Source organism: Homo sapiens, chromosome 1 (genome assembly GCF_000001405.40).
Source record: "Homo sapiens chromosome 1, GRCh38.p14 Primary Assembly".
Taxonomy (NCBI): domain Eukaryota; kingdom Metazoa; phylum Chordata; class Mammalia; order Primates; family Hominidae; genus Homo; species Homo sapiens.
Genome location: NC_000001.11, coordinates 211,809,238 through 211,828,129, shown reverse-complemented (window position 1 = coordinate 211,828,129; position 18,892 = coordinate 211,809,238). Strand labels below are relative to the sequence as shown.

Sequence of the window (18,892 nt, the reverse complement as noted above, 5' to 3'; positions counted from 1 at the left end):
ATAGCTTGGCAGAGTGAGGAGGGGTACTCCCAGGGTCAAGCAGTATGGCAGTTCTCCATCTGAAATTCTGTCTCCCTCTTTCCTGCCTAGGCTGCACCTGCACATTTTATCCACACACGCAAGAGAAGGACTGATAGTATACAGCTTTTATGGAGTCTGACAGACCCTTGCTATGTCTGAGTATTCTCAGTTGCCCCAGATGAAGCCTTTTCTCCTTCAGGCAGTGGCATTTATTTATTTATTTCTCCTTCAGGCAGTGGCATAATAATGCAAGAGCTGAAGCCCCTGGGATAGTGTATGCGTTGCTTCCTTGTCATCTGTCTTGTTGAGATTCCAATGCTTTTTGGATATAGTAGGTGTGCTTCTAGCCCTTTTTTAGGACTTGGTGGTAGCAATAGCAGTGGTAGAGAAAAAACGAAGTTCTAATCTATGGTGCTGAATTCTTACCTGAATTGCACTGCTGTCTTAGAGTTGCTTGGCTTGGTATAGTTTGAGTGTTCCCAAATATATGTTATATGGTACTAGTGGCTTTATTCTTGTATAGTATACTTAAGTTTGCTTGTTTTAAATTAGCTTATAGTATTTTCAGAAACCCGTTCTAGAAGTTCATTCTGCTTAAAATGAAATTACTGAAATGTTTGTGCGTGTGTATAGTGTATTTAATTGTTAGCATGGTGGGAAGGTAAAATTAATTTGGCATTGACCTTGAGATTGGGAGTGCAGTGGTGCTGCTTGAAGTCAAAGTTAGTTGTCCTATGGCCATAGCATAGCTGCAATGTATTTTTCAGCATATTTTCTTGGGGTATCTCTTCCTTGCTGACTATAGAACTGTGTAATTTCTTTTGCCACCTGCTTGGAATGTGGTCTTGGCATGATCTGCATATTTTAGTCTCTCTGAAGCATCTGCTCTTCTTCAGGCTACTGAATTTTGACAATTTGATCAGTTTGTCTCATTTAAATATAGACTGTTTTAATGTATATATTTTAAAAGGTTTTCCTATAGGTAGAATACTTGATTTCAGAGAGCCTGGTCATAGTCTGATCATAAAAGAAAATAGTCAAGAAGTCAAACAAATGTAGGAATGAATTTGGTTGAAAGCCTCAGCTGAGTTTAAAGAAGCACATCTAAGCAGAGGTTGATGAACAGGTGTACCCATAAAATAATGTCAGGTGTTATATTAGCCTTTCTTTAGATAATATATTTCACTTCTTCCCTTTACATCAATAGGAGGGTGGGCTTGTGAAGAAGTTCTTTTTTCCCTATGCCCAAGTTTCACAGATGGAAAATTGAACATTGCCAAAGGAATTCTGCTCAGCAGATTAAGTATGTTCATGTTTTAGAATAAAAATTGCCAAAACTTTGTTGAGAAACCACTTATGAGGAAACCTTAAATACTAATTAGGAAGCTAAAAATTGAATATTGGTATATTGGTATAGAATGAATATATATATATATATATATCTTTTTCCAAATTATGACATTCCGTGTAATATGAGTGAATTACTCAGCTCTGCTGATGAGGACTTATGTTGATTATCTAACCTACACAGCCCCATATAGTAGCCACTGGCTGCATGTCACTGTTTAAATTTAAATTAATTAAAATGAAATAAAATTTAGCATTTAGCTCCTCAGGCACACCAACCACATTTCAAGTGCTCAGTACTAGGTGGCTAGTGGCTACTGTATGGACAGTGCAGATACAGAACACTTCTATCATCACAGCAAGTACTACTGGACAAAGCTGATATAGTAAGCATGGTTTTCTTTTCTTAGGAAAACTAAATTTTATTTTTATTAAAAAATCTTTCCTTAGTTCTAAACAGATTTTTTTTGTGAAAGACAAGAAGATTTATTAAAGTTTTATTAAACTATCTCTTAACTCATCACAAAAATGAGCCCTGTAAATTCATACATGCTTCTTGGATGAGTAATGGTGAGGCCAGTAAGCCCAAGAACTTAAATGAACATTCTTATACTTTAGTTTGCATTCTCAGAGCTGGGGAACTGTCTGTAGGCACAGAAGATGGAAAAGGGATTTTCTGGTCTGTTTCTGACTTTAAGTTACACATTTTAAAAAGTACTCTGAAGACACTGGGGTTTGTTCATCCCCGGCTTGCTACTAAAGTAGTAATGATTGTTGTTTTCACATTTTCCTTTTTTTTTTTGAGATGGAGTCTTGCTCTGTTGCCCAGGCCAGAGTGCAATGGTGTAGTCTCAGCTCACTGCAACCTCCGCCTCCCGAGTTCAAGCGATTCTCCTGCCTCAGCCTCCTGAGTAGCTGGGACTACAGGCGTGTGCCACCACACCCAGCTAATTTTTGTATTTTTAGTAGAGATGGGGGTTTCACTATGTTGGCCAGGCTGGTCTCAAACTCCTGACCTTGTGATCCGCCCACGTTGGCCTCCCAGAGTGCTGGGATTATAGGCGTGAGCCATCGCCCCTGGCCTGTTTTCACATTTTCTTTAGTAGGAAGTGCTGTACAGATATCTCACGTTGAGGAAATGCTTTATATTGCCTTTGTCTTAATATTTCAAGGGCAAACCAAAAGAGATACTAGCTTAACTAATGATCCACTTCTGCATGCTTTATTTGGATCTAGGATAAATCAGTACCCCACCCCCCGGAGTTTAAGTGATGATTGGTAAATGTCAGAGAAAGATTTCATACCAAACAAAATGTATTCTATTTATTTAAAATAGTTTATTTTTATTTTCATTTACTTATTTTAATAAAGGAATTGTCATCCAAACACATTTAATTAAAGTCTTAGCCAGGTACAGTGGCTTATGCCTGTAATCTTAACAACTTGGGAAGCCAAGGTGGGAGAATCACATGAGCCCAGGAGTTCGAGGTTACAGTGAGCTGTGATCATGCCACTGCACTCCAATCTGGGCGACAGAGACCTGTCTCAAAAAAAAAAAAAAAAAAAAAAAAAAGAAGACTGTGCATGAAATACTTTAAAAATATTTACTGTTAATAGAAACTCCAGAATTTTTATTTTTATATAGGGTGAGAGAGAGTCATGGGCCAAAGTCTGGCTGGAAGGGAGCTGAAATGCCAGGGGACTTGCTGCCAAGCTGTTTTTACGTAGCAAACAGTTTTCCTTAAATTGGGGCATTATTTGGGGGGGGCTTTAGGGAAAGCTGATGGAGATTACGTTTAGTTACCTCCTGCTCCCCAACTGACAGCTGCCCTGTCTTTCTGGGTTATGTGATTATTTGATAGTGTCCTGCTTTTCGGGGAGGGATACATATTCATTGTGTGACAAAAAGTAATTTTTAGGAATTATTTCTGACTTTGAAATTCTACGGAAAGTTTCAAAAATGTATTTCGAGAGCAATGTCTTGTAACCTTTGAGCCGTAAAACCAATTTAGTATGTGAAGATGAACATTTTAAGAATGTGAAATAAAATAGAATTCAATAGAATATATCAGAAATGCATGTGTTTATACTGAGTGGTGCTTCAGAATGTATTTTTTACTATAAGTGCAGTCAACATTTGAGAGGCATTGTTCTAGTGGAAAGAGCACTGGGATTTTGGAAAACTCTGGGAGTCAGTGGTCTAGCTTTAACTTTAAATCTGTTATCACTGGTAGGGGTGAGATCCTTACCTACTCTGGGCCCACTTGATGGATCTTCCTTATAACCCTAGGGTCTGATTTGTTACCTGATGCTCACAGAGTACTCAGTAAGTGTCTAGTTCTTGAATGATCCTTTTTTATTTTTTTGTGAGACAGTCTCACTCTATTGCCCAGCCTGGAGTACAGTGGCACAGTCTTGGCTCACGACAACCTCTCTCTCTCAGGTTCAAGTGATTCTCATGTGTCAGCCTCCCGAGTAGCTGGGATTACAGGTATCCACCACCGTGCCCGGCTAATTTTGTATTGTTAGTAGAGACAAGGTTTCACCATGTTGGCCAGGCTGGTCTTGAACTCCTGACCTCAAGTGATCCGCCCACCTTGGCTCCCACAGTGCTGGGATTACAGGCGTGGTGAGCCACTGCACTGGGCTGAATGTTCTCTTTTTCCTTTCCTGGTTCTGAGATTCCCTAGCTGCCTACCTTCCTGAAAGGTCTATTATCAAGGTCATTGCAGTCCACAAAATATGAAACCTTGAATCACATCATGTTTAATATATATAATCTCTTAAAATACCACATTTGTTAATTTTTTTTTTTTTTTTGAGAGACAGATTCTCACTCTGTTGCCCAGGCTAGAGTGTGGTGGCTAGATCTTAGCTCACTGCAGCCTTGAACTCCTGGACTCAAAAGCGATTCTCCTGCCTCAGCCTTTCAAGTAGCTGTGACACTAAGTGTGCATCACTGTGCCTTTTTAATTTAAAAAAAGTTTTTGTAGGGATGAGATCTTGCTGTTGCCCAGGCTGGTTTTGAACTCCTGGTTTCAAGGGCTCCTCCTTCCTTGACCTCTGAAAATGCTGGGATTATAGGAATGAGCCACCATGCCTGGCCACATTTACTAATTTAACACACCTTTATTGAACTTCAGTTATCTGTGGGAACAGGTACCCTGGAGGTACCTGATAGGCACAAGACGTAATCAGTGACTTTAAGGAGCTCACAGCAGCCTTGGTGGGGAGACTGCACCAACAATGAAAATATACAGGGGTACAAGGGGAGGTAAAAGGAGGGGCTCCTGATCTAGCATCAGTGGTAGGTGGTGACAGGGAGGGAATAGGGGACTTAGGGAGAGGCTTTGAAGGAATTTGAATTCCTTTGAATTCTTAATAATTATAATTCATTTAAGAGATGGAATATGTATATTTGTGGTGATTATATTAGCTAAGATTTATTGAAAAATAAACCAGGCAGTGACCAAAGTGCTTCGGTCACTTAATGATCGCAATAATTTTATCAGGGTGGTACTGTTATCACTTCTCCTTTTGTTATAGATGTTGAAATTGAAAGAGGTTTCACAGTTACTTCCCCAGAAGCATTAACTGGATTGATGTTGCCACAAGTTGATTTTTGTATTTGAAGAGCCAATTTTGACCTTTAGATAATGTTCCTAGAGTGTTTCTTAATTTTTACTACCCATATGCCCTTTTGCTTTTGAGGCATGGAATCTCTTTCTGAAGATGCAACTCTTTAACATCTGAAAGTAATATAGCTATAGATTTCTTCAAGAGGTTAAAAACTTGGTGCTTCAATGGAAATGTTGTAGTATAATGGACATTTCATAAAATCTAACTTCCTTAAGGCTCTCTACTCATGTGGAGAACAAAAACTCCACTGGAATTTCTGGTTTTGGGTGCTTGAAAGTAGATTGTCATCAGAGTGAGGAGTTACTGCATGATGTTAGGTTGACAACTGATTTTTTTTTTTTTTTTGAGATGAAGTCTTGCTCTGTCACCCAGGCTGGAGTGCAATGGCACGATCTTGGCCCACTGCAACGTCCGCCTCTTGGGTTCAAGTGATTCTCCTGTCTCAGCCTCCCGAGTAGCTGGGATTACAGGCATGTACCACCATGCCTGGCTAATTTTTTGTATGTTTAGTAGAGATGGGGTTTCACCATGTTTGCCAGGCTGGTCTCGAACTCCTGACCTCAAGTGATCCACCTGCCTCAGCCTCCCAAAGTGCTCAGATTACAGGTGTGAGTCACTGCGCCTGGCCGACGACTGATCTTGACGTAAATCCAGGAGAAGAGTTTTCAGTAGTGTTTTGATTTTTCTATGGAAAATATATCATGAAAGGAAATATTTTTGTTCTTCTCCATCCCTGTGGTAGGTAATTAAAGGTAAATATTACTAAATGCTTTAAACTCAGCAATTTGGTGGTACTACAAATTTGATGTCCTTATTTCAAAGATAGTTTATAATTGAATAATTTATTTTAGATACTTATTTTGAAATATATATATAATCATGCATGCACACACCTTCACATAGACTATTACAGAAGCTCAGGGGGCAGTATTTGTAGTGTTTGTAGTAAGACCTCAAGTTCTGGAGTCAGAAAGAGCTGGGTAAAATAGTTTTTGGTTTATTTTTGTTTACATTTGCATGGCATATCTTTGCCAATCCTTTTGTTTTCAAACTCCAATTTTTATAATTTGCTTTGATTTAGATGTGTCTCTAGTATACAGCATGGAGTTAGGTTTTGCTTTGTGAGTGAATTTGAAAATCTCTGTTAATATGAGTTGAATCCATATTTATATTTATTCATATGTCAAAAATTTGTCATGGTTCTGCCATTGTATTTTATGTTTTCTATTTATATATACATATGAATGTTAAGTCTTTCACTGTGTAGTATCTTTTTCTTTGCTTTTCAGTTCTGATATTTAGGAAGGTTTGTATTTCAGTCTTATTACTTTAATATTCTTAGTTCTCTATTGATAGTAACCATTCATTCTCTTCTATGACCAAAGGTAAAACTCTTTTTAATCCTTGTGTCTTCCCCTTTCTCTTCTTCCTCACCCAATCTTAGTCAGTAATATTTATTTAAAATAGCGTATACATCTGTGCTATTATGTATGCTTATGCTTCTACTACTTGAGCTTTAAGACTATACATTGACTCCCAGCTATTACATCAAGGTAATCAGTAAGCTTATTATACTTCTCTCTGCTTTCTCCCTTCTTTCAATTTATGTTATTTGAGTTTATACAGTGTTATAGCCTATAATATTTACATTCTATTTTATCAGCTTCATTTCCATCTGTTTTTGTCTTAATTCTTTAGTTAAATGTAATGTTCACCCAGGTACTTTGTGCAGAGTCATTCTTTGGTTGGCTGAAGTTTATCCTCTAGTAGTTTCTCAATAAGGGCTCAGGGGAACAAGATGAGGATATTATTCTTACAACATTTTCAGAATTTGTCTTTTGTTGCTTTATACGTTTTTTGTTTTTTTGAGATGGAGTCTCACTCTGTTTCCCAGGCTGGAGTGCAGTGGTGCGTTCTCAGCTCACTGCAACCTCCGCCTCCTGGGTTCAAGCAATTGTCCTGCCTCAGCCTCCCAATTAGCTGGGATTACAGGCATGCACCACCACACCCAGCTAATTTTTGTATTTTTAGTAGAGATGGAGTTTTGCCATGTTGCCTCACACTTTCTTTTTTTTGAGTATCTTACAGGTATTATACAAATGTCTTCTGATATTAAATGTTATATGAAGCCAGATTGAATTTTTTCCTATTATTGACTTGGTCTTTTTGCCTGTCTGCCCAAAGGGATTCTCCCTTTATCTCTCATATCTAGTAACTTTATTAGGATATAGTGGTATTGACTGTGTAGCTCAATTTTTCCTGGTACATGTGTGCCTTTTTAATATTTAGATTCAAACGTATTTTCATTTCAGGAAAGTTTTCTTTAATCATATCTTTAAATATTTACTTTGTCTCATTGTTTTGGTTTTCCTTTTTGGAGACCTTAGTTATATGTATGTTGAATCTCCTTTTGTATGTCTTTTATATCTGTTATTTTTCCTTTAATCCTTTTAAACCGTTTTTCATTTGTTTGTTTCTTTCATGTCTTTTACTGTGTTTTCTGCAACGTCTCTTCTTTGTTCTCCTATCAGTTTCTTCTTCATTTCTGTGATGGCTTTGTTTATTCTTCTATTTTTTTTTTTTGTTTAGTTCTACCAATTCATGCTTCCCTATTCCTGTTATCTAGACATTTCTCCCTTGAGTTCTTGTATTTCTTGTTTGTGGTCTTGTTCTTAGTGATGATGGCTTCACTGATTTTCTTAAAATCAAGCAAAATTATTCAGTTATAATTTTTGTCTTCTCCATTGTAATTTTTTTTTAGTGTACTCTGACAGTTGGTACATTATCTATCATTTTTCTTAAAGTATCTCTCAGTCAGTACCATGCCAGTTACCTTTTTTTCCTTGTGACTTAATGAATTGGATTTTCCTCAATCTGTTATTTGTAGGAGGTTTGTATGGGGCCAGGGTAGATTTCCAGATTTCTGCCTCAGAGGTAGTCTTTTTCACATATGACACCTGGGTGTGTTTCTCTGTGTGGCCACAAGTCTTCTGCCTCTCTAAAAAAATGTCTAGACCTTCTAGAAGGTCTTTTGCCGCTAATTCTGAACTTTCCACTCCTTCCTTTGCAGCTGTGATTGGAGGGACATGGCTCCAGCATGCCAATGTAAACCACCCCCCTGCCTGCCTTTTTTTTTTTGAGACGGAGTCTCACTCTGTTGCTCAGGCTGGAGTGTAGTGGTGCAGTCTTGGCTCACTGCAACCTCTTGCCTCCTGGGTTCAAGCGATTCTCTGCCTCAGCCTCCCGAGTAGCTGGCAGTACAGGCGTCTGCCACCATGCTTGGCTAATTTTTGTATTTTTAGTAGAGTCGGGGTTTCACCATGTTGGCCAGGCTGATCTCAAACTTCTGACCCCAGGTGATCCATCCGCCTCGGCCTCCAAAAGTGCTGGGATTACAGGCGTGAGCCACCGTGCGCGGCAACTCTTTTCTTAAGGAAAGGTATTGTTCTGTTGCTTTCTGAGATCTGCCACTGTCAGGCCCTCTTCATCACATGCCACACTGTCTTGCCCTATAAGCTGCTCTCCACCCCAGCATAGATTGTATGCCTTGTTTGATCTCAGCCTTGTTCTCAGGTACTTTGGTGGTTTTATTTTTTAGATTTAAATTTTTTGGTTTTTTTTGTTGTTGTTGGAGACAGGGTCTTGTTCTGTCACCCAGGCTGTAATACCATGGTGCATTCCAACTCACTACAGCCTGAAACTTCTGGCCTCAAGTGATCGTTCCCATCTCAGCCCAAGTAGCTAAGACGACAGGCATGTACCACCATGCCTAGGTAATTATTTTAATTTTCTTGTAGAGATGGGGCCTTGCCAAGTTGCCCAGACTGGTCTCAAACTCCTGGCCTCAGGCAGTCCTTTCACCTGGCCTGCCAAAGTGCTGTGATTATAAGCATGAGCCACCGCACCCGGCCTGGGATTTTTATATTTTTGTTTTTCTCCTAGGTTTTCTGAAAAAGCAGTTTTGCGCAGTTTTTTCTCCTTGTTGCTATCTGTATTTTCCCAGAAGATTCATGCCTATAATGCTGCTATGTCCATACCAAAAAGTACAACACAAGATTTTTGTTTAACTATGTAATTATAATTAAAATAGCACTGCCACCATCCTATTGTACACTGGTTGATTATTATAGAATGGAGAGCAATTTTACCATCTAATTAATTTTCTTTGAGGTCTGTTGAAAAGCATAAAGTAGGCTCCAAAGTGTGTTTCTTTTGTCTCCCAGTGGTTTCCAACGTGTTTTGATTCTTAGACTGCTTACCAGTAGCATATGTTTAAGACATCCACTCTATTTCCATTTGGCTGCAGTAAGAAAATGTCATCAAAACGAATGGAAGGAGTGAGTTACCTTTGGTACTTTAGTAAGGAATATGAAATAAATGTGACATTAATACAGTAAAGCTCTAGGGTCTGGTCTGCCTTGAGAACTTTAAAGATCACTAGTGCACTCCAAAGTTTGACAAATATTGTTACATAAGAGTTTACCATTCCTAATCTAAAATTAGGGTTTGCTGAGTATTTAGGCTTTGTTTTAGGAGTTTCTTTTCAGAGTTTGCAAATTAGTGGCCATATTCAGAAGCTGATCTGTTTTATTTTGTCTTAGCACTATTTAAACTTAAATTAGTTGTCAACATTTCAAATTAGGGAGATTTCACAAAACATGAAAACAAATTCCACATTTCCAGCTATTCTTGAGAAATTAGAGATCTGGCCATGCTGAGCCCTTGTTCCTGCATAGTAACGATTTGCTGGAGCTGCATGATGACCACCCCCTTTACTGTCCAGTTTATCCAAGATCCTGCTTCTTGTCTTATTTTGGGCCTACTTTACTTATTAAGGATACTTGCTTGGATCCCAGAGACTTGGGTGATGTTCATTTTAAAATATTTAAATTATAATTACTAGTCTATTTCTGTTAAGCATGGTTTTGCATTTATATGCCCTAGTAGTGCCTAAGACTAATGAACCCTGCCATTAAAAACTGAAAGTTGGCTGGGTACGGTGGTTCACGCGTGTAATCCTAGCACTTCGGAAGGCCAAGGCGGGTGGATCACTTGAGGTCAGGAGTTTGAGACCAGCCTGGCCAACATGGTGAAAACCCGTCTCTGCTAAAAATACAAAAATTGGACTGGTGTGGTGGTGCATACCTGTAGTCCTAGCTACTCGGGAGGCTGAGGCAGGAGAATTGCTTGAACCCAGGAGGCAGAAGTTGCAGTGAGCTGAGATCGCACCACTGCACTCCAGCCTGTCTCTGGACAGAGTGAGACTCTGTCTCAAAACAAAAACAAAAACAAAAAACCTGAAAGTTTGTTAGTAATCTCAACTGCTGATTTTATGAAGCAGAGGCATTTAATAGGAACGAAAAAATGAAGCACCATTACCAAAAGCTGTGGTCACAAGGTTTTTCAAGTTTCATGTATCCTATTACTGACATGGTAAAATGTTGCCAGTTGTTTATACACTCATTAGTTAGTAGAATGTCTCATTTCTTCTTAAGAATATAATTATCTAAAATCTAGATTATTAAAAATTCTTTCTTTCTTTTTTTTTTTTTGAGATGGAGCCTCACTCTGTCCCCTAGGCTGGAGTGCAGTGGTGCGATCTCGGCTCACTGCAACCTCCACCTCCTGGGTTCAAGTGATTCTCCTGCCTCAGCCTCCTGAGTAGCTGGGACTACAGGCGCCGGCCACATGCCCGGCTAATTTTTGTATTTTCAGTAGAGACGAGGTTTTGCCATGTTGGCCAGGCTGGTCTCGAACTCCGGACCTTAGGTGATCCACCTGCCTCTGCCTCCCAAAGTGCTGGGATTACAGGTGTGAGCCACCATGCCCAGCGACGGATGGTTTTATGAATAGTTGAGTTCGTTATGAACTGCATGTTCAAAATGCATTTGTGACAAGTTTTTTGAAAAACAGAGATCAATATATACGTTTCCCCCTAATATGATGGTTCCATTTATTAAAGTTAATTGAGGTCCTTGAAGGGAAGAAAATTAACTGGGGGCTAAATTTATAAGTATAGGTTACATGGATAAGGAACTAGGATGTCATTTGGAATAATTGTTGCAGGCTGTTTTATACGGTTGGGATAGAATTTGTTTTTGTATATGAGACTCTGAATTGAGCAGCCATTATAAAGTGTAAATAATCATTCTAAGCTGTGTTAAGCCTCAGATATTTGTATACAGATGTATTTTCAACAAATAATAGATATTGCAAAATAAGTATATTAGAGATAGCATGATGTGTTGGGGAAAAAACATTGATTTTTGAGCTAGTATGAGGTTGGATCCTGTTTCTCCCACTTGCTAGTTTTATCTTTGAGCTAGTTGCTTAATTTCTCTGAGCTTCAGTTTCATCATCTGTAAAAATGGAGGTTATGAAACTTGAATGTAAAGTGAAGCCTGGTGTTTGGCACTCTATAAATGATAATTTCATTATTATTAGAATGATCATTATTATATTAATGTCTAGGAAAATAATTATGTTAGCCTTTTGGGAAAAGGCATGTGTAAATGAATAAAAGCTAACTTATGAGGTAGTCTTAGAAATATATCTGAGGCTATTCAGGCCTAGCTAGTAGTGTAGCTCAATCGAGTTCTTGCTTTAATCAATCAATAAAAATAATTTAGGCCGTAGTCTGAATAAAATATTAACTAATTAGATTTTATGTTTGTAAATTTTGCAGTGCTTCAAAGCAATTTATTAATTCAGTCACCTATTCTAATGCAAAAATTTGAGTGCCTTCTCTGTGTCAGATATTGTGCTGGTGGCTGGGAGTACAGTGGCAAACAAAACAACATAGTTGCTGTTCTTAAGAAGTTTACATGTTAGTGTGGGAGAGAGACAACAGGAGTCACATCATAACCACGGAATCACATGTGAAAAGGGCTATGAGAGGATGAGACAGAGGACTTGAGCTTGAGACTAGTGGTGCCAGGGAGGGATGCCCTTGAGAAAGGAACACTGAAATTGAGACCTGAGGAATCAGTAGGAGTTGGCCAGGTGAAGCTAGGAGGAGGGACAGCATGCACAAAGGCAGAAAAGCCAGGCGCAGTGGCTCACGCCTGTAATCCCAGCACTTTGGGAGGCCGAGTCGGGTGGATCACAATGTCAAGAGATTGCGACTATCCTGGCTAACACGGTGAAACCCCGTCTCTACTAAAAAAAATACAAAAAATTAGCCGGGCGTGGTGGCGGGCGCCTGTAGTCCCAGCTACTCAGGAGGCTGAGGCAGGAGAATGGCGTGAACATGGGAGGCGGAACTTGCAGTGAGCCGAGATTGTGCCACTGCACTCCAGCCTGGGTGACAGAGCAAGACTCAGTCTCAAAAAAAAAAAAAAAAAAAAAAAGAAAAGCATTTGTCATGTTTGAGGAACAAAGGGAAGGCCAGTGGCTGCAGCAGGGAGGGAGTGAGGGGGAGAGGAGTTTAGTGGTTGAGGGAAGCTGGTGAGGCCAAATCCTTTAAAGCTTTGTAGTGCATATTAAGGATTTTGAAATTTATCTTGAGGAAACCATCGAAGAGTTTTAAGTAAGGGAATGATGAAATCAGATTCCCATTTGTAATTCTACTCTGCAGCTTTGTAGAAATGGACTCAAGAGAAGCCAGTGTGTGTGGCCAGGAGACCGTGTGGAAGATTCTCACCTTATCAGGTGAGGGTGATGGTTGGTCTAGTGATGATGGCAGTGGAGATGGAAAGTGAACTGATTGGAGAGTTTTATAGGAGGGAAAATTGTCAGGACTTGCTGAGAGATTAGACATGGAGGATGAGGTAGAGAGAGAGGTGACAGGGATGCCCCTGAGGTTTCTGGTGTGAGCTGCTGGGTAGATGGGGAAGTTTAGAGAGGAGGTAACTGAGAGGAAAGATTTTAAAAATTTAAAAATTTAGCATAGGGTAGATGAAAAACATCCAAGTGGAGCTGTGAAATTGACATGGATGTGCAGTCTGGAACTTGTAAGGGAAACTTGAGCTAGAAAGAGAAATCGGCAAATTATCCATGGTGTTTAAAGCTGCTATCACCTAGGGATATCTCAGTACGAAGTGACGAGAGGCCCAGGATTAACTTGTGAGGGAATGCCACCATTTGGAGGTTAAGAGAGGAAGATGGGAAGAGAAGAAGTGGAAGGAATGCCAGCCTTAAGAGTGTGGGGTCACAGAAGTCCACAGTGTTTCAATGCAGGGACCCGCTGAATGCAGCTGAGCATTTATTTACATTTTCCAAGATGAGAGCTGACATATCTTTTATTGTATTTAGCAAGAGCAGCTTTGTTGAGGTGGTAGAAGTGTAACTAGATTGGAGTGGGTCGAAGATGAATGATGAATGGGAGAGGACAAAATGGAAACAAGAATGTATGATTTTCCAGAAGTTTGGCTGTGAAGGAGTAGAGGGTGATACTGGAGGGAGTGATATAGGGTCAAGGGAAGACTTTTTACATTTTTTATTTTTTAAGGTGGAAAAGTCTAGATCCTGACCCACTTAGGGTTGTACCTGATGAAACCGGGATCATTTACTTACACAGCTAGTGTATTAGGAAACTGTTCTTGGTGAGGATTGAATGAAAGAATGCATATCAGCACTCCATACATGGAAAGCACTTAAATGTTGGCTCTGTTGGCAGAATCAGGCTGAGTGGTCCAGAGCCCCCATGGATCTGGTCCTGTTCCAAGCTCTTTAGTAAGGCTGCTCTCCTGCAACCCCTCCTCATTTTCTCAGTTTCATTCTTCCTCTCCCCAAAATCTGTTCTTTGTTTCTTTGAAAATTTCTACCTGCCTGTCTAACCTTGTGACACCCTTCCACACTGCTCCAGTTTCCACTCTTTGCCTCCCTCTGAACCTCTTTGGCATCAACTCTGTAGTTGTGGTTCCTAACTATTGGGCTGAGATTTCCTCCAGTGCTTCAGAGTTATCTCAGGGGGTCAGGAATCCATACGCATATTAAGTACCATCTGTGGATGAATAAATAATGTGTCTTGTAAATATGTGCTAATGTTTTTCAAATATATGTGGCTGCTGTTTTGATTAATAAGAAATCCTTTAAAAGCTTTTAAATTTTGTTGTTACTTTTATTATGGATATTTTCACTCAATTCTAAAAGAACTGATATGTTAAGGCTGGACACATTTTTTGACCTTAAAAAAGAATGTTCATACTTGACAAGGTTAGGAATCATTGCTCTACAACATTCAGATTTCTCCTTCATGTTCTTGACTATTACCTTTTCTTTTCCTGTCTCTTTAACAGACTTGTAAATTGCTTAAGGGCAGGGGTTGTGGTTCTTTCTTCTTTCATGTACCTTACTGCAGAGGTTGGCAAGCTACAGCCCTTGGGCCAAATCCAGCTCACTGCCTGTTTCATAACTCCCCTCCAGCTAAGAAGCTTGTACAGATGAACATTTGCAATCAACCTGATGCTAAGAGAACACTAACTTTGAACTCCAGTTAAGCAAAATGTTCTCTCCTGAGAAATAATTCCATTCTTGTCATTAGTAGACCTGCATTATATAAATTGTATTCAATTATTATTAATTTTTTATTTTGAATTTTGTCAATAAAATTTTCGTAGAAATTTGTTAGAAAACAAATTTGTTACATAAGTACCGACATAATACCCTCATTTGCCTCTTGGCCTGCATATTTGAAAATTTTGCTCTCTGATCCTTTATAGAAAAAGTTTGAGGACCCCTGCTTCGTAGTCATAATTTCTAACCTTGTCTAAACATCTGAATTATTTGAGGAGCTTTAAGTAAGAAAACATACGTATTTATAAGCATAAATATATATATTCCTGTACCCTGGAGATTCTGTATCAGTACATCGGGGTGGAGCCTGGGAACTTATATTTTTAACAAATTATTGAATTGTTTGGGAATCACTTCCTTTTAATGCATTCGTAGAGTTGAACCCCAAGAGATAATGAAATGAATATTGAGTTATATTCATAGATAAATTCTTACTTCAGCATTTAGTAGCTATGAGACCTTATCCAAATAACTACTTGTTTTGCTCGTTTAAAAATTTTTTAATTCTTTTATTTATAGACAGTTTTGCTTACTTTCTGCAGTGGTAGTTCTTTTACCTTTGGAGGTTTATTAGAACCTCTTTCAGAATCTGATGAAAGTAAATAGCCCCTCCCTCTAGAAGGGTGCACCTGTGTTAGTTTCCTGTGACTACCAAAACAAATTACTACAGAAGTGCTTAAAGAAACATAAACTTATTCTCTCACTGTTCTAGAGGCCCGACATTCAAATCAAGGTGTCAGCAGGGCCAAGATCCCTCCAGAGGTTCTGGGGGAGATCCCTCACCTCTTCCAACATCTGGGCTGCATTCCTGGGCTTGTGGCTGCATCACTCAGCCTCGGCCTCCAGGGTCACATTACTGCCCTTTCTTCTCTGTGTATCTCTGTTACACAAGGACTCGAGTCGTTGGATTTAAGGTTCATCTGGATAATCCAGGATAAGCACTTCCTCTCAATATTCTTAACTTAATCACATTTTTTATCATATAAAGTAACATTCACAGGTTCCAGGGATTTGACATGGATATCTTTGGGGTTGTGGAGGGGTGCATTTTTCAGCTTTCCATAGAACCTTTGCACATGGTCACAATTTTACAGTTTCAAGGAGTCACAACTCTGAAGTCCATTAATGGATCCTATGGACTCTAGGTTTGGGCTCCTTGCTCAGTGAGAACCTTATACCTATAGTGTGTTCTAGTTAATCTCTTTATTCTTTCCTGTCTCTGTGTCATATGCTTACATTAATCATCCTATTAATACCATTTTCAAAATGATGTTTTTTTCTTGTAACCTTAGATTTTTCCATGTATAGTTTCCTGGTTAGGTTAATTTCTCTGGTTCCCTTAGAAACTTTTTATCCTTTGATAAGACTTTTTGTTAAAAAGAAAGCCCTCCCAAGCCTTTTTACTTCATTCTGCAGTAGGGAGACTAACTTCTGTGCCAACACAGATAACCAGTAATGCTTCTAGTGAGAAGAAACACCTTGATTGAGTATCTGCTGTGCCAGGCCGTTTAACAAGTGCTTACACATGGCTTCTTACTTAATGTTGAAAACAATCCTGTCAAGGGAAGTGGTATCAGTGAGCAAATGAAGATCTGTGGAAGTTAGGTAATGTGCACAATGTGAGTGATAGAGCTGGCAAGAGCCGAGCTAGTCTTTGAGTGAAGGGCTGCTCTAAAGCCCATGTGTTTTCATTATACCATGAATGCTCTTATCCTCCAGGATATAAAGATAATCTCATCTTTTTTGTTTTTTAGGCAGAGTCTCACTCTGTCACCCAGGCTGGAGTGCAGTGGCGGGATGGCAGAGTCTCACTCTGTCGCCCAGGCTGGAGTGCAGTGGCGGGATGGCAGAGTCTCACTCTGTCGCCCAGGCTGGAGTGCAGTGGCGGGTGGCAGGATCTTGGCACACTGCACCCTCCACCTCCCAGGTTCAAGCAATTCTTGTGCCTCAGCCTCCTGAGTAGCTGGGACTACAGGTGCACACCACCATGCCTGGCTAATTTTTGTATTTTTTGTAGAGACGGAGTTTCATCATGTTGGCCAGGCTGGTCTTGAACTCCTGGCCTCAAGTAGTCCACCCACCTTGGCCTCCCAAAGTGCTGGATTACAGGCATGAGCCACTGTGCTGAGCCAAGATACTCCCATCTTTAAAAAAAATCCCCATTTAGCAAACTAGCCTCCATCATTCCCGACAGCTCTTCATTCCTTCCCTCTGACCCGTATGTTATCAGTTCCTTTTACCTACTGGCTTTCTGTTGTTTATAACATAATGTTAAGGATTCTCGTGCTTTAATAACCTGGCCCAAGCCTGCCTTATCTTTTGGGTGCTCCCTCCCTTTATTCTTTCTGCTGCAGTGTAGAATGTCCCTCCTATCAAGACCCAGTCCTTTTGTTTGGATTTCATTCCTCCCTGCTTGCTCATAAACCTTCCTTCATTGTTAATGTCCTCTTTCTTTAACTTTCATAAAAACTCTTGACTTTCCAATTACTTTTAAAGAATTGGAGGATATGGTAGCCTGGGTCTGTGTTTCCAAATATCAGCAAGAGACTAGAGCTGAATAGTGTCTCCCCACTTTGGGTGGTGAATGTTCTCTTTATTTAAACACAGTCCCACTGCTCCCTATTGTCATATAGGAAGCCTACTTCCCTCTGTTGTCACCTGTGTGGTGATAAAACAGGAATTTTGTATTCCCTGGCCTAAAGTCTAGTATCTGACTTTTAAAAGTAATCCTATAATCTGAATTTGTATTTATAGATATAATCTTATTTCCTCTTCTTCTCAGTACCAGCTGTCTCCCCAGGAAGGTTACTACCCGGGCATGTTCTCGCTGTCTTTTGTATCTCTTCCCTTCATATTTCAGCTCACAATGACTTCTTTTCCTAGCTTCTGTGGTACGTACATATTTTCGTGTGTATTGTATTATTTCACAGTTTGTTTTTTATTCCCAATAAGTGAGCAAACTTCTTGAAGACAGGGATTGTATTACCTCAATTAAAAAGTTGACTTAAGTTTTATATGGAAGAAAACATACCTTTAAAAAGCAAAAATCACACAGCTAAGTGAGATGCTGGCATGATGATGGGCATATGAGATGCTGACATGATGATGGGCATGAGAGCTGAATATGACAGGGAACAGCATATTCAAGATTCCAGTCTATCTGTACTCCAGGGCATACATCTGTTGACTGGAAAGGCAGGCAAATTGTGTATACTATTTAAAATGTTTATCTGTTTTAATTTTTCTTTTTTCCTTCCACCCTCTATCTTCCGTCACGTTCTACTTTCTCTTGAATTGCATTAATTACTTCATGATAGAATTCTAGTATACTTTTATGTCTTCTGCAGTGGTAGAACCCTGTGTCTCTCTGAAGAAAATAAAACCAGTTGAATGAATGAACATATCAATTAGTGCTTTGGGGGATAGTGAACAGGAGGTGGTGTAAATTAATTATATTTACCATCTGTGTTTTTCTTTTCAACTAATTCATTCAGGCAGGGAGGAACCATAGAGTTACGTTTCTTCTGCTTGACTTAAAATATCTCAAAATTCCTTTCCGGCTCTACATTTCTTTAAGATCAAAACCCTTACTATATATAATAGTTCAGTTCTAAAGCTTTTTAGAGCTCTGTTAGCAAAACAGAGAGGTATTCATGTTGTACACGTATTCCTGGCAATTTGGTGTAATCCTTTACCTTTAGGAGATGTTAGAATTTCCTTTTTTCCATTTACTCATTTTAGGAATTGTATTAGTCTGTTCTTAACACTGCTAATAAAGACATACCCAAAACTGGGTAATTTATAAAGGAAAGAGGTTTGAATGACTCACAGTTCCACATGGCTGGGGAGGTCTCACAATCATGGTGGAAAGTGAATGAGGAGCAAAGTCATGTCTTACATGGCGGCAGGCAAGAGAGAGCTTGTGTAAGGGAACTCCTCTTTATAAAACCATTGGATCTCGTGAGACTTATTCACTATCATGAGAACAGCATGGGAAAGACACGCCCCTCATGATTCAATTACCTCCCACCAGGTCCCTCCCACGACACATGGGAATTATGGGAGCTATAATTCAAGATGAGATTTGGGCAGGGACACAGCCAAACCATATCAGGAATCTAAGGCCGATACTGCTAAATTCCATTACTTAGTTAAAGTTTTCCCAATGTTATAAAATTAAAAGACCTTTGATTTACATTTGAATCTCTGAATTCAGTGTTGTTGCTCAACTTATACATAAATGAAAGGAGTTATTTAAAAGGGTGAGACAAGAAACCTTTGAGCAAGTTGGGGATTTTGTACAGGTGGAAGTGCTGTTATTGGGACATACTATAGAAAGAAACTTAAGATGTGAAGTCTTAGCTACCTC

The 18,892-nt window shown here is 39.4% G+C and overlaps 1 protein-coding gene across 10 annotated transcripts in view; it reads left to right on the top strand.

The window, feature by feature from the left end:
- The window catches only part of LPGAT1 (lysophosphatidylglycerol acyltransferase 1), an 87,307-nt gene that overhangs the window by 2,634 nt on the left and 65,781 nt on the right, over positions 1–18,892 (top strand). The window lies entirely within an intron of this gene.